Source organism: Homo sapiens, chromosome 8 (assembly GCF_000001405.40).
Source record: "Homo sapiens chromosome 8, GRCh38.p14 Primary Assembly".
Taxonomy (NCBI): domain Eukaryota; kingdom Metazoa; phylum Chordata; class Mammalia; order Primates; family Hominidae; genus Homo; species Homo sapiens.
The window spans coordinates 30,084,044-30,096,400 of NC_000008.11; the positions used below are offsets into that span (position 1 = coordinate 30,084,044).

Here is a 12,357-nt window from a genome sequence, read left to right on the forward strand (position 1 = left end):
AACTAGCCGTACAAAGATCAGGGGACTCATCTTCCCATCTGGGGAACAGTGGATGCAAAAGCCCTAACTTTGTGTTTCGAGGAAGAGTTATTTGGTCAGATCCTATAAAGAGTTCAGTCCCACAAGATGGCCCCAACTTCAGACATCAATCACAAGTCTCAGGTTGTGACCTATGCTTCTGACCAACCAGCTATAAATTAGGGTTTCCAGGCCGGGCGTGGTGGCTCATGCCTGTAATCCCAGCATTTTGGAAGGCCAAGGCAGGTGAATCGCCTGAGGTCAGGACTTTAAGACCAGCCTGGCCAGCATGGCAAAACCCCACCTCTACTAAAAATAGGAAAAATAGCTGGGCGTGGTGGTGCACACCTGTAATCCCAGCTATTTGGGAGGCTGAGGCAAGAGAATCGCTTGAACCTGGGAGGCGAAAGTTGCAGTGAGTCAAGACTGCCCCACTGCACCTGGACCATGGAGAGAGACTCCCTCTCAACAAATAAATTGGGGTTTTCATAACCCCCCATCTTGAGTTCCATAATTTGCTAGAATGGCTCACAGAACTCAAAAAAACACTTTATGTTTACCAGATTATTATATTGAGCACCTATTAGTACCTAACAGTACCTGCCAGGCACTGTTATCAGTATTGGGGATACAGCAGTGAATAAAACAAAATTTGGGGGACAAGAGGCAAACAAGGCCATAACTGAAGCAAAGTAAGTTAGGGGAAGAGTGGAATAAGAGATGGCAGAGCAGTGGGGCCTCGGCATGGAACCAACCAATGCTGGGACCAAGGACTGAAATAAGAGATAATAGAGAATCTATGCTCAACATGTTAAGTTTGAGGTGACTATTAGGCATCCAGGTAGACGTGTCAAATAAATAGATAAACTGTAAAAGTCTGAAGTTCAAAACTAAGGTAAATTTGGTAGTTATGTTGTAAATATAAAGATAGCATTTAATGTCATGATGCTATTGTTTGAATGTGTCCCCCAAAGCTCATGTGTTGGAAACTTATTCCCCAAAGCAATAGTGTTGAGAGGGGGGACTCTTAAGGGGTGATTAGGTTATGAGGGCAGAGCTCTTAATGCTATTATCACAGGAGTGGGTTAGTTATTGGGGAGTGGGTTCCCGATAAAAGGGATGAGTTCAGCTCCCTTTCTCTTTTGCCTACCACCGTGAAATGACACAGCAGGAAGCTCCCCACCAGATGCAGGCCCCTGGACCTAGGATTTCCCAGCCTCCAGAACCATAAGAAATAAATCTCTATACTTTATAAATTTCCCAGTCTCAGGTATTCTGTTATAGCAACACAAAATGAACTAAGACATGTGGGAAGAGACACAGTAACATGAGAGAATTGAGATACCACAAAAAAGGAGGCCCAGGCTATGGAAACACTAACATTTGAACCTCAAGCAGAAGATTCTAGAAAGAATCTGAGAAGTAACCTCTGGTGAAGAAGGAGGAAGAACTAGGACAATAGGATATGGTAATTGAGAGAAAGAAAGAATGGTCAACAGTGTCCACTGTTGCTGAAAGCTTGAAGCAAAATTTGGTCTCTGAATTTTGCAATGTAGAAATCACTAATTACCTTAACAAGAGAATGTTTGTTATTTTAGATTCCCACCATGTACCATGTACAGTTCTGGACAGTCATGAACAAAAGATGAAAGGTTGTTATAATAAACATTCTAGTGGGAGAGGTAGCCAACAAATCATGTCATTTCAAATAAATAAGTGCTTTGGGCCAGGCACGGTGGCTCACACCTGTAATCTCAGCACTCTGGGAAGCCGAGGCTCAGGATCACTTGAGACCAGGAGTTTGAGGCCAATCTGGGCAACATAGTAAGACCCCATCTCCACAAAAAATTGTTTTTAAAAAATTAGCCAGATGTGGCCAGGCACAGTGGCTCACGCCTGTAATCCCAGCACTTTGGGAGGCCGAGGTAGGCAGATCATGAAGTCAGGAGATCGAGACCATCTTGGCTAACACAGTGAAACCCCGTCTCTACTAAAAATACAAAAAATTAGCTGGGCATGGTGGCGGGTGCCTAAGTCCCAGCTACTCAGGAGGCTGAGGCAGGAGAATGGTGTGAACCCGAGAGGCGGAGCTTGCAGTGAGCCAAGATCGCACCACTGCACTCCAGCCTGGGCGAAAGAGTGAGACTCCGTCTCAAAAAAAAAAAAAAAATAGCCAGATGTGGTGGCATGTGCCTGTAGTCCCAGCCACTCAAGAGGCTGAGGTGGGAGGATCACTTGAGCCCTGGAGGTTGAGGCTGCAGCAAGCCATGACTGCATCACTGCACTCCAGCCTGGGCAACAGAGCAAGACTCTATCTCAAATAATAATAAGTACCTTGAAGAAGAAAACAGAGCAATATGACAGGTAGTGCCATAACAAGTAGGATGGCCCAGAAAAGATTCTCTGAGAAATTACCATTTGAGCTGAGAGCTAAATGATGAGGCTGTAAAAGGAAAAAACAAACTGTTTTCTCCTTTCTACTGGCACAAAACACAGAGCAGTTCTGTGACCAGAAGAGGGGCTGGGGGAGTATTTCCCTACACACCAACCAACTCTAAAGGACATCAACACGATGTCCTATAACTCAATTCAAGTTAAGGGCCCAGTCTCCCACAAGACTGCCCCAATTCAGACGTCAGTCCAGGAAAATATTTTATGTTTACCAGTTTATTGTAAAGGATTTATAAAGGATACAGATGAACAGCCAGATGAAGAGATGGATAGGGCAAAGATAAGAAGGCCATGGGGCTTCCATGCCCTCGCTGGGCACTCCACCCTCCCAGCACCTCCCTGTATTCAGCAACCTAGAAGCTCATGAAATCTTGTTGTCTAAGAGTTTGTATAGAGCTTAATCTCCAGCCACCCGCCCCCGATCTCTCCTGTTGGTTGGTGGGTGGGCTGAAATTTCCAACCCTCTAACACTCTAATCACATGGTCTTTCTGGTGACTGACTTTTTGGTGTCTGTAAACAATACAGTATAACAACTATTTACATAGTATTTACATTGTTATTAGGTATTATAAATAATTTAGAGATTATTTAAAGTATACAGGAGGGGCTGGGTGCGGTGGCTAACACCTGTAATCCCAGCACTTTTGGAGGCCCGAGGTGGGTGTATCACTTGAGCCCAGGAGTTCGAGACCAGCCTGGGCAACGTAAGAAGACCTTGTCTCTACAAAAAAAAAAAAAAAAAAAAATTAGCCAGGCATAGTGGTGCATGCCCGTGGTCCCAGCTACTCGGGAGGCTGAGGCAGGAGGATAGCTTGAGCCTGGGAGGCAGAGGTTACAATGAGCCGAAATCACACCACTGCACTCCAGCCTGGGTGACAAGAGTGAGACCCTGACCCAAAAAAAGATTTTTTTTCCTCTGAGCTTTCTCTGAATCAACCTGTAAGAGTTAGTAATTCTCAGTTTACAAAATTGTGAAGAGGATTAAATGAGATGAATGCTAAAGCACCAGGCAAATAGCACCTGCTGAAAAAGTAAGAATTCCCTTCCTCTCATCCACATTCTCATCTCCACCATTTAACTTTGGAGAATGGAAAACCATCCATATAAGAAGTATTGAAACTGAAAGGTAACACTAATTAGCTATTACATAACAATAGAGAACATTTAAAGGATATGACATTAACTAGCATTTAGGGTTCCCTTGGAAAACTGGTGGAGAAAACTGACATTCTACCTTTTTTCCGACAATGACTTTCAAGCTTTGCTTTAGTTTGCACAGGAATTGTTTGAGATTCTTGTTAACTTTTCAGATTCCGGGCTTTACCCACAAGAGTTCTAAATTCAGAAGGTCGGGAGTAGCAGTCAAGAATTTGGAAGGCATCCCAAAGTATTCTGCTTTAGGTGGTCCTTGAAATACAACATTTAGACACACTGTTTTTAAGGTCTCAAGTGACTGTGAGAGGTGACAACGTGCTAGCAGCCCTCGCTCACTCTCGGCGCCTCCTCAGCCAGGACGTCCGCTCTGGCCGCGCTGGAGGAGCCCTTCAGCCTGCCGCTGCGCTGTGGGGGTCCCTCTCTGGGGCTGGCCGAGGCCGGAGCCGGCTCCCTCCTCTCCCGGAGAAGTGTGGAGGGAGAGGCGCGGGCGGAACCCGGGGCTGCGCCCGGCGCTCACCGCTCGCGGGCCGGCGCAGGTTCCGGGTGGGCGCGGGCTCCACGGGCCCAGCACTCAGCGCAGCTGGCCGGCGCCTGCTGGGCTTGATCAGAGGCTGGGTCCCGTGCGTGCACCGCCATTCCCTCTTCGCAGGGTCGTTGGCCAGAATGGCGGGTCTCCCTCTCTTTCTCGCTTCCCCTCTTTTCCTCTTGGTTGTCTGGGACAAGCTCCTTCTGGGCTACTGGAGCACCCGGGGTAAGTGCCGCAAAATCCCGCGAAGAGCGCCAGTGAGAGGTGAAGCCGGCTAGGCTTCTGGGACCGGTGGGGACTTGGAGAGCTTTCTGTCTAGTTAAAGGGCTGTAAATGCACCAATCAGCACTCTGTGTCTAGCTAAAGGTTTGTAAACACAACAATCAGCCTCTGTGTCTAGCTAATCGGGTGGGGACTTGGAGAACTTTTGTGTCTAGCTAAAGGATTGTAAACGCACCAATCAGCACTCTGTGTAGCTAAAGGTTTGTAAATGCACCAATCAGCACTCTGTCAAAACGGACCAATCAGCTCTCTGTAAAATGGACCAATCAGCAGGATGTGGGTGGGGCCAGATAAGGGAATAAAGAAAGGCCACCAGAGCAGCAGCGGCAATCCGCTGGGGTCCCCTTCCTGGGTGTGGAAGCTTTCTTATTTTGCTTTTTGCAATAAATGCTGCTGCTGCTCACTGTTTGGATTTGTGCTGCCTTTATGAGCTGTAACACTCATAGCGAAGGTCTGCGGCTTCATTCCTGAAGCCAGCGAGACCACGAACCCACTGGGAAGAACAAACAATTCCAGACGGGAGGAACGAATAGCTTTGGACGCGCCACCTTTAAGAGCTGTAACACTCACTGCGAAGGTCTGTGGCTTCACTCCTGAAGTCAGCGAGACCACGAACCCACCAGAAGGAAGAAACTCCGGACATGTCCGAACATCAGAAGGAACAAATTCCGGACCCACCGTCTTTAAGAACTGTAACACTCACCGTGAGGGTCCACAGCTTCATTCTTGAAGTCAGTGAAACCAAGAACCCACCAATTCCGGACACAACTGGTCCCTAGACCAGTAAACCAAAAATGGTCCTTAGAGTGATGAGTGTTTTTGTGCTGGAAACACTGAATCTCATGGGAAAGATAAGGAGCACAATCTCTCAGGATTCTGTGACCATGGAAGAAAAGAATGTAGATTCCTGTAACCTGATGAGTAATCCCAGTTGCCCATGAATGTTGTCAAGGACATCTGTAATGCCAACACATTTGTACTGAAAAGAGCAAATCAGGCTGGGGGTAGTGGCTTACACCTGTGATCCCAGCCCTTTGGGAGGCCAAAGTGGGAGGATCTCTTGAGTCCCAGAGTTCAAAACTAGCCTGGACAACATGGCAAAACCCCGCCTCTACAAAAAGTAAAAAATTAGCGGGCCATGGTGGTGCATATCTGTGGTCCCAGCTACTCGGGAGGCTGAGGCAGGAGGATAGCTTGAGCCCTGGAGGTGGAGGCTGCCATGACAGGAAGCTACCATGACTGTGATTGCTCCACTGCACTGCAGCCTGGGCAACAGGATAAAACCCTGCCTCAAAAAAAAAAAAAAAGGGAAATTTATCTTTGTAGCTATCTTATCCTACATAAGATAGCTACAAAGATAAAAATAATAATAAAAATAAATGAAAAAAATAAAGCTACATACCTACCTCACAATTTGCCCACAAGGATATTCCTTGTGGACAAAGGACAGAGAGAACTCAAAGTCATCCTTTGCTCACTGTGAGACAAATGCTTATCTGATTGCTTCCTTTGCCCTGTTTTTTCACTAACCCAGACTAAAGCATAAGTGACTATACCTGTAAATTGTGTATTCAGTGAAAGGCTAATCAGAAACTCAGAAGAGGCCAGACATGGTGGCTCATGCCTATAATCCTAGCACTTTGGGAGGCCGAGGCAAGTGGATCACTTGAGCTTAGGAGTTCAAGACCAGCTTGGCCAACATGGTTAAACCCGTCTCTAACTAAAAATACGAAAATTAGCCAGGTGTGGTGGCACATGCCTGTAATCCCAGCTACTTGGGAAGCTGAAGCAGGAGAATCACTTGAATCCAGAAGACAGATGGTGCCACAGCACTCCAGCCTCAAAAAAAAGAACAAAAAAATTAGCCACGTGTGGTGGTGGGCACCTGTAATCTCAGCTATTCGGGAGGCTGAGGCAGGAGAATTGCTCGAGCCCAGAAGTTGAAGGTTGCAGTGAGCCGAGATCGCACCACTGTACTCCAGCCTGCAGCTTGGGTGACAGAGTGAGACTTGGTCTCAAAAAAAAGAAAGGAAGAAAAAGAAACTCAAAATAAGGCAACCATTTGTCTCTTATCTACCTATGACCTGGACACCCCCTCCCCACTTTGAGTTGTCCCGCCTTTGCAGACCGAACCAATGTACACCTTATATACAGTTATTGATGTCTCATGTCTCCCTAAAATGTATAACACCAAGCTGTGCCCCAACCACTTTGGACACAGGTCATCAAGACCTGCTGAGGCGTGTCAAGGGTGCGTCTTCAACCCTGGCAAAATAAACTTTCTAAATTGACTGAGACCTGTCTCACATATTGTGGGTTCACAGAACAAAACAAGAAAAGGTGTTGTGGTAGGTGACATGTGGGATGGAATTATTCACTTCTCCAGGAATTCCACCTATCCATTCAAGATGGCTGGGGAGAAGGACGTATATGCCTGCTTCAGTAGTTTAGAGAAAGGAGCTGGTGGCTCACAGATTCCGTGTAAACAGCGTGTATTTCCATGGCATATGTTCAAGTGTGCCTTGTGGTTTTGTTACCACATCCTTAAATGGAAACTTTTTTCATGATACAGGAAAGAGATGGTAGATCTTTCTGCACTAACTTGAACAGAAAAAAATTCTACTCTCCTACAAAACACCCATAGACTCATTTGGTGCATTAAGACTCAAGAAGTGACCTGTTTGTTGTTGTTGTTGTTGTTGTTTAAATTGTAATTCAACTCTAGAAATAGTAGAGAGAAGCGAAGTGGGTAATGCCTCAAGCTTCCCATTTGCTCTCATTTTAAAGCATATTGGAAATATCTCTTCTAAACATTCACTCCACAGTCTTACATGCCACTTTATGTTAGTCTGATGACTGAAAAAAAGTTAAAAATTCAAATCGTACGTAGCTCACCCCCACCTACTTCCTTTTAAAACCTTCAAAAGATTTTTATTGCTCAGAGAGAAAACCCAAAACTGCTTGTGTACGTCCCTACTATATAAGCATGCTGCCCCACCCCAACCTTGACCAACCCCATTGGCCACCTCTCTTTTCTCCAAGGGACCAAGCAAGTTCCTTGCTCCATTTGCTGCCAAAGCTCCTAACTCCCCACCACACATACATACATGCGCGCACGCAAACACACAAACACACAAAAACACAACACACAAAACACACACAAACACACATGCACAAACACACGCACACACACAAACATGCATACACACGCAAACGTGCACAAACACGCAAACACATGCAGGCACACACAAACACGCCCACAACACAGACACGCACGCACACAAACACACATGCACGCACAAACGCATACACAGACACGCACACAAACGCACGCACAGACAAACGCACACACACAACACCCAAACACGCACAAGGACGCACACACACGCACACACAAATACCCATGCACACGCAAACACGTACACAAACACATACACACAAACACGCACAAACACATGCATGCACACACACATGCAGGCACACACAAACACAAACACGCACACACACAAACACACGCAAACACACACACACAAACAACACACCCCGCCACCTGCGATGGCTTTTCCGTTCTCTATTAACACATTTATTCATCACTGTGTTGTCTCTCCTTGGGGGAAATTTTCCTTGGCAGATCGCAATCAAAAGTTTTCAGAGAACTATTTACCCATCTTTCCTAGTGTAGGAAAGGATAAAAACTTTCTTTACCCTCCTAGGTTCAGAAGCTGAGAACTGTGAATTAAACTAACAAAGTACAGATTACCAGGAAAAAAAAAAAGGTTTATTTTGCATGCACAAGGAGGCTTCACAGAAAAGAAGTGAAAACTCAAAAAGTAATTAGGCCTGGGAGCATGTATCATTTTAACAAAGGGTGATGCATTGTGGAAAAGTAGACAAAGGAAAGGTTTTGGACTTCTAGGGGCAGTAGATTTTAAGAAGGTAAATATATAGGGGAAAACTAATGAAAGATAAGGGCTATTTTAGTAATGTTTTCACAGACTCCAATAAATGCTGTTTACTGGGGCATAGGAGTTGCATCCTCTCCCTGGTCTGGGAAATGTAAATATTTATAAGTAGAAAAATTTGTTTACACATTTTTTGGGGGCCAGGCGCAGTGGCTCACACCTGTAATTTCAGCACTCTGGGAGGCCCAGGTGGGCCGATCACTTGAAGCCAGGAGTTCAAGACCAGCCTGGCCAACATGGTGAAACCCTGTCTCTACCTAAAAATACAAAAATTAGCCAGGCATTGTGGCTCATGACTGTAATCCCAGCTACTTGGGAGGCTGAGGCAGGAAAATCACTTTAACCAAGAGGCAGAGGTTGCAGTGGGCTGAGATCACACCACTGCACTCCAGCCTGGGCGATAGAGCAAGACTGAAAGTTAGCTGGGCGTAGTGGCGCGTGCCTGTAGTCTCAGCTACTTGGGAGGCTGAGGCAAGAGAATCGCTTGAACCCAGGAAGCGGAAGTTGCAGTCAGCCGAGATCATACCACTGCACTCCAGCCTGGCCACAGAGCGAGACTCCGTTTCAAAAGAAAAACAAAACAAAACAAAAAGTGGAACTTTATGTTATCTTTACAAAGGGAACTTAAGCACGGCCTTTGGGTAGAAAAGGAGAGAGCAGAGAGCTCCTCCTATGCCTGTTGCTTCTTATTTGCTTTCAGCTCAAAACAATCCTTAGCCTTATTTTCACTCGTGTCCGTGTGAAGAGACCATCAAACAGGCTTTGTGTGAGCAACAAGGCTGGTTATTTCCCCTGGGTGCAGGTGGGCTGAGTCCGAAAAGAGAGTCAGCGAAGGGAGATAGGGGTGGGGCCATTTTATAGGATTTGGGTAGGTAAAGTAAAATTACAGTCAAAGGGGGTTGTTCTCTGGCAGGCAGGGGCTGGGGTCACCAGGTGCTCAGTGAGGAAGCTTTTGAGCCAGCATGAGCCAGGAGAAGGAATTTCACAAGGTAATGTCATCAGTTAAGGCAGGAACCGGCCATCTGGATGTGTACGTGCAGGTCACAGGGGATATGATGGCTTAGCTTGGGCTCAGAGGCCTGACATTTATTTGTTTGTTTGGAGACAGAGTCTTGCTTTGTTGCCCAGGCAGTGGCACAATCAGAGCTCACTGCAGCCTCGACCTCCTAGGCTCAAGCAATCCTCCTACTTCAGCCTCCCAAGTAGCTGGAACTACAGGCACACACCAAGCCTGGCTAATTTTTTTTTCGTTTTTGTAGAGATGGAGTCTCACTATGTTGCCAGGGCTGGTCTTCAACTCCTGGGCCAAAGCGATCCTCCTGTCTTAGCCTCCCAATGTGCTGGGATCACATGCCTGAGTCACCACACCAGACTTCAAAGTGGCATATTTTAGAGTGACATATTCTGATCCCCTTTACTAGCAATTATCATTATTGCAATTTTACATTTTTTGTGTGTCTGTCTTCCTCACCAGTCTGCAAACAGTACCTGGTTTTGCACATCTCAGCGTCTAACCCTGTGCCTAACACATAGTAAATGTTCTATAAATAATTGTAGGATGTGTAAATAAAGGTGTTGAACCTGGGCTTTCACTTTTTTTTCCTTGCCTTGTTACTACCAAAAAGACAGCCACCCAAGGGACTGGATTTCTATTAAATCCACCCTTTACTGAGCCCTGCTGCTCCTATCTCTGGAGGTGGGTCCTCACCAGAACCCTAGTCCTGTATAGGAAACCAAGGAGCCAAGTGCAGACCACCCAACTAACCTTAATTATAGGACTGGGGATGGAGGGATGGAGGGAGAGAGGAAAAGGCGCAGTAAAATAATGTGCGCAGTGGCTCACACCTGTTGTCGTAACCGAGCGAGTTATAGAGAAACACCACACTTTGAGACTAATTCAGGAGTCCTTTATTGCCGGCGACCGAGAGACGACTACAGCTCAAAATTCTCTCGGCCCTGAAGAAGGGGCTAGATTTCTTTTTATACCTTGGTCTAAATAGGGAAGGGGTAGTCTAGCTGAAGCAATTTTTACAGAAGCAGAACAGGCAAAGAGTTAAAAGATAAATGGTTATAGAAACAGTTACAGGAAAATAAACAGTTCCAGGTGCATGGGGCTTAAATTATCACAAAGAGATAAACGCAGGGGCTTTGGGTACCATCAACCGAGCGCGTTCCCAGGAGCTGCTGGTACAGCTTGCCTCAGTATCTTATCAGTAAGCACATTCCTGGATGTGCTTGGTGTCAGTCTGCACCAGTTATGTCCTTAAGGGAGGGGGACAAGGTGCTGCAAGCGAAGAAACCAAAATGGAGTCTGTCCCGCTCTCTCAGCTAAGAGCGAGTCAATCAGGTTAAAACAAGGTAGGGTATCAAGCTGTAATCCCAGCGCTTTGGGAGGCCGAGGAGGGCAGATCCTTGAGCTCAGGAGACCAGCTTGGGCAACAAGATGAGAGTCTCACACCCCGCCCTGTCTCTACAAAAAACAAAACAAAACAAAACAAAAAAAAGCCAGGCATGGTGGCTCATGTCTGTGGTCCCAGTTACTGCGAGGCCGACGTGAGAGAATCACTTGAGCCCTGGAGATCGAGGCTGCAGTAGCCGTGATCACACTCCAGCCTGGGCGAAAGAGACCCTGTCTCAAAAAACAAACAAAACAATGTGAAATTAAGCCAAAAGCCATCACACGTGCATCCAAAGGACGGCCGCTACCCGCGACCCCTTCCCAACGCACGCGGGAGGTTGCGGGATCAGGGACAGGGGCTTCAGCAGGGAGCCCCCAGACCGGCCCTGACAGGAATTCAAGACCTGGCGCCTGCTCATTCCCCCAGTCGGGGCGGCGGCGGCAAGCCTCGGCCGGCGGCGATCTGCACACCCGCGGAGAAGAGAGGCAGGGGGTCGACCCCACAGCCCAGCCCGGCGCGTCCCCCGCGCCCCCGCGCGAGCCCGAGTCGCCGGCGGAAGTGCTGCGTCGCGCACTTCCGGGTGTTGTCTGGCCGCCGTAGCGCGTCTTGGGTCTCCCGGCTGCCGCTGCTGCCGCCGCCGCCTCGGGTCGTGGAGCCAGGAGCGACGTCACCGCCATGGCAGGCATCAAAGGTGGGCCTGGGTTGCAGGACGCGGGAGGGCTGGGGCCGGCGGGGGAAGATGGGCCGGGGGTCCCACGCGGCCCCCGCACTTCCCCTCCGGGCTCGCGCGCGCGCGTGGGGTCCCTGCGCCGGGGAAGCGACCCCCGCCCCGGCCCTGCGCTTGGCCCGGAGGTGGGCGCGGCGCCCTCGGGCAACGGACGGTTGCGACCCCGGCTTCGCCCCGCAGCCCCCACTTTCTGCCGATTTCGGCAGCCTCTCTCCCACCCATCGCCCCCCGGACAAAATATGAAGTGGTTGGCGGTCAGTGAGGAGTCCCGTCGCGACTTGGACGGCCACACACGTTTTGCAGGAGTTTGCATCCGAGAGAGAGGCAGGCAGAGCGTGGGATTGAGAAGGCTGAGGCTGCTAGAGATGCCAGCTATGGAAAACCAGTCATTTCCCACCGAAAGGCACAAGTGCGGTCTGCGGGCGCTGCACGGGTCTGCCCGAAACCTCGACCCCACGTCCACCCCGGCCGCCCGCGCCCGAGGCTTTACAGGCTCCCGAAACGGGTGCATTTTCATCTGCGGTGTCTGGACCCTAGAGTTGATCCTGTAGGCGACCCCAAAGTGCTCCTGGCTCTCTTCCCTCTCCGCAGTTGCACCCTGAGGCTTTTTCAAATTTCAAAATTTTTCTTTTTTTCCTTTTTTTTTTTTAAGAAGATAAAATACTGGTACAACTTAATGAAAAACTACTGGCTTATTCATGTATTTTCTTTTAAAAAAAGGAATGTTGCATTTGTTCCACCTGTTAGGTAGTTTTGTTGTCAGTGTGATGAGAAGCAAAGTTTTCAGCTACTGCTTAACTAATTACATTGATTTCTTGACCTGCCGCTCTGTAGAA

General features: G+C 48.0%; 1 protein-coding gene across 2 annotated transcripts in view, besides 2 other annotated features; it reads left to right on the forward strand.

Annotated features, from left to right (window-relative positions):
* Positions 8,928–9,097: an enhancer, noted in NCBI's record as "active region_27209". NCBI's record gives its function as "activates an Ori minimal core promoter by ATAC-STARR-seq in GM12878 lymphoblastoid cells {active_cell/tissue: GM12878}" and the evidence as "EXISTENCE:reporter gene assay evidence [ECO:0000049][PMID:35858748]".
* Positions 11,213–11,672: a silencer, noted in NCBI's record as "silent region_19075". NCBI's record gives its function as "represses an Ori minimal core promoter by ATAC-STARR-seq in GM12878 lymphoblastoid cells {active_cell/tissue: GM12878}" and the evidence as "EXISTENCE:reporter gene assay evidence [ECO:0000049][PMID:35858748]".
* Positions 11,365–12,357, forward strand: part of LEPROTL1 (leptin receptor overlapping transcript like 1) — a 42,941-nt gene continuing 41,948 nt past the window's right edge. For both annotated transcript variants that reach the window (NM_001128208.2, NM_015344.3), the window contains exon 1: positions 11,365–11,485. In NM_001128208.2, coding sequence (NP_001121680.1) covers positions 11,470–11,485 — 16 coding nt within the window. In that variant the 5' untranslated portion in view covers positions 11,365–11,469. The remainder of the gene's footprint in view (positions 11,486–12,357) is intronic.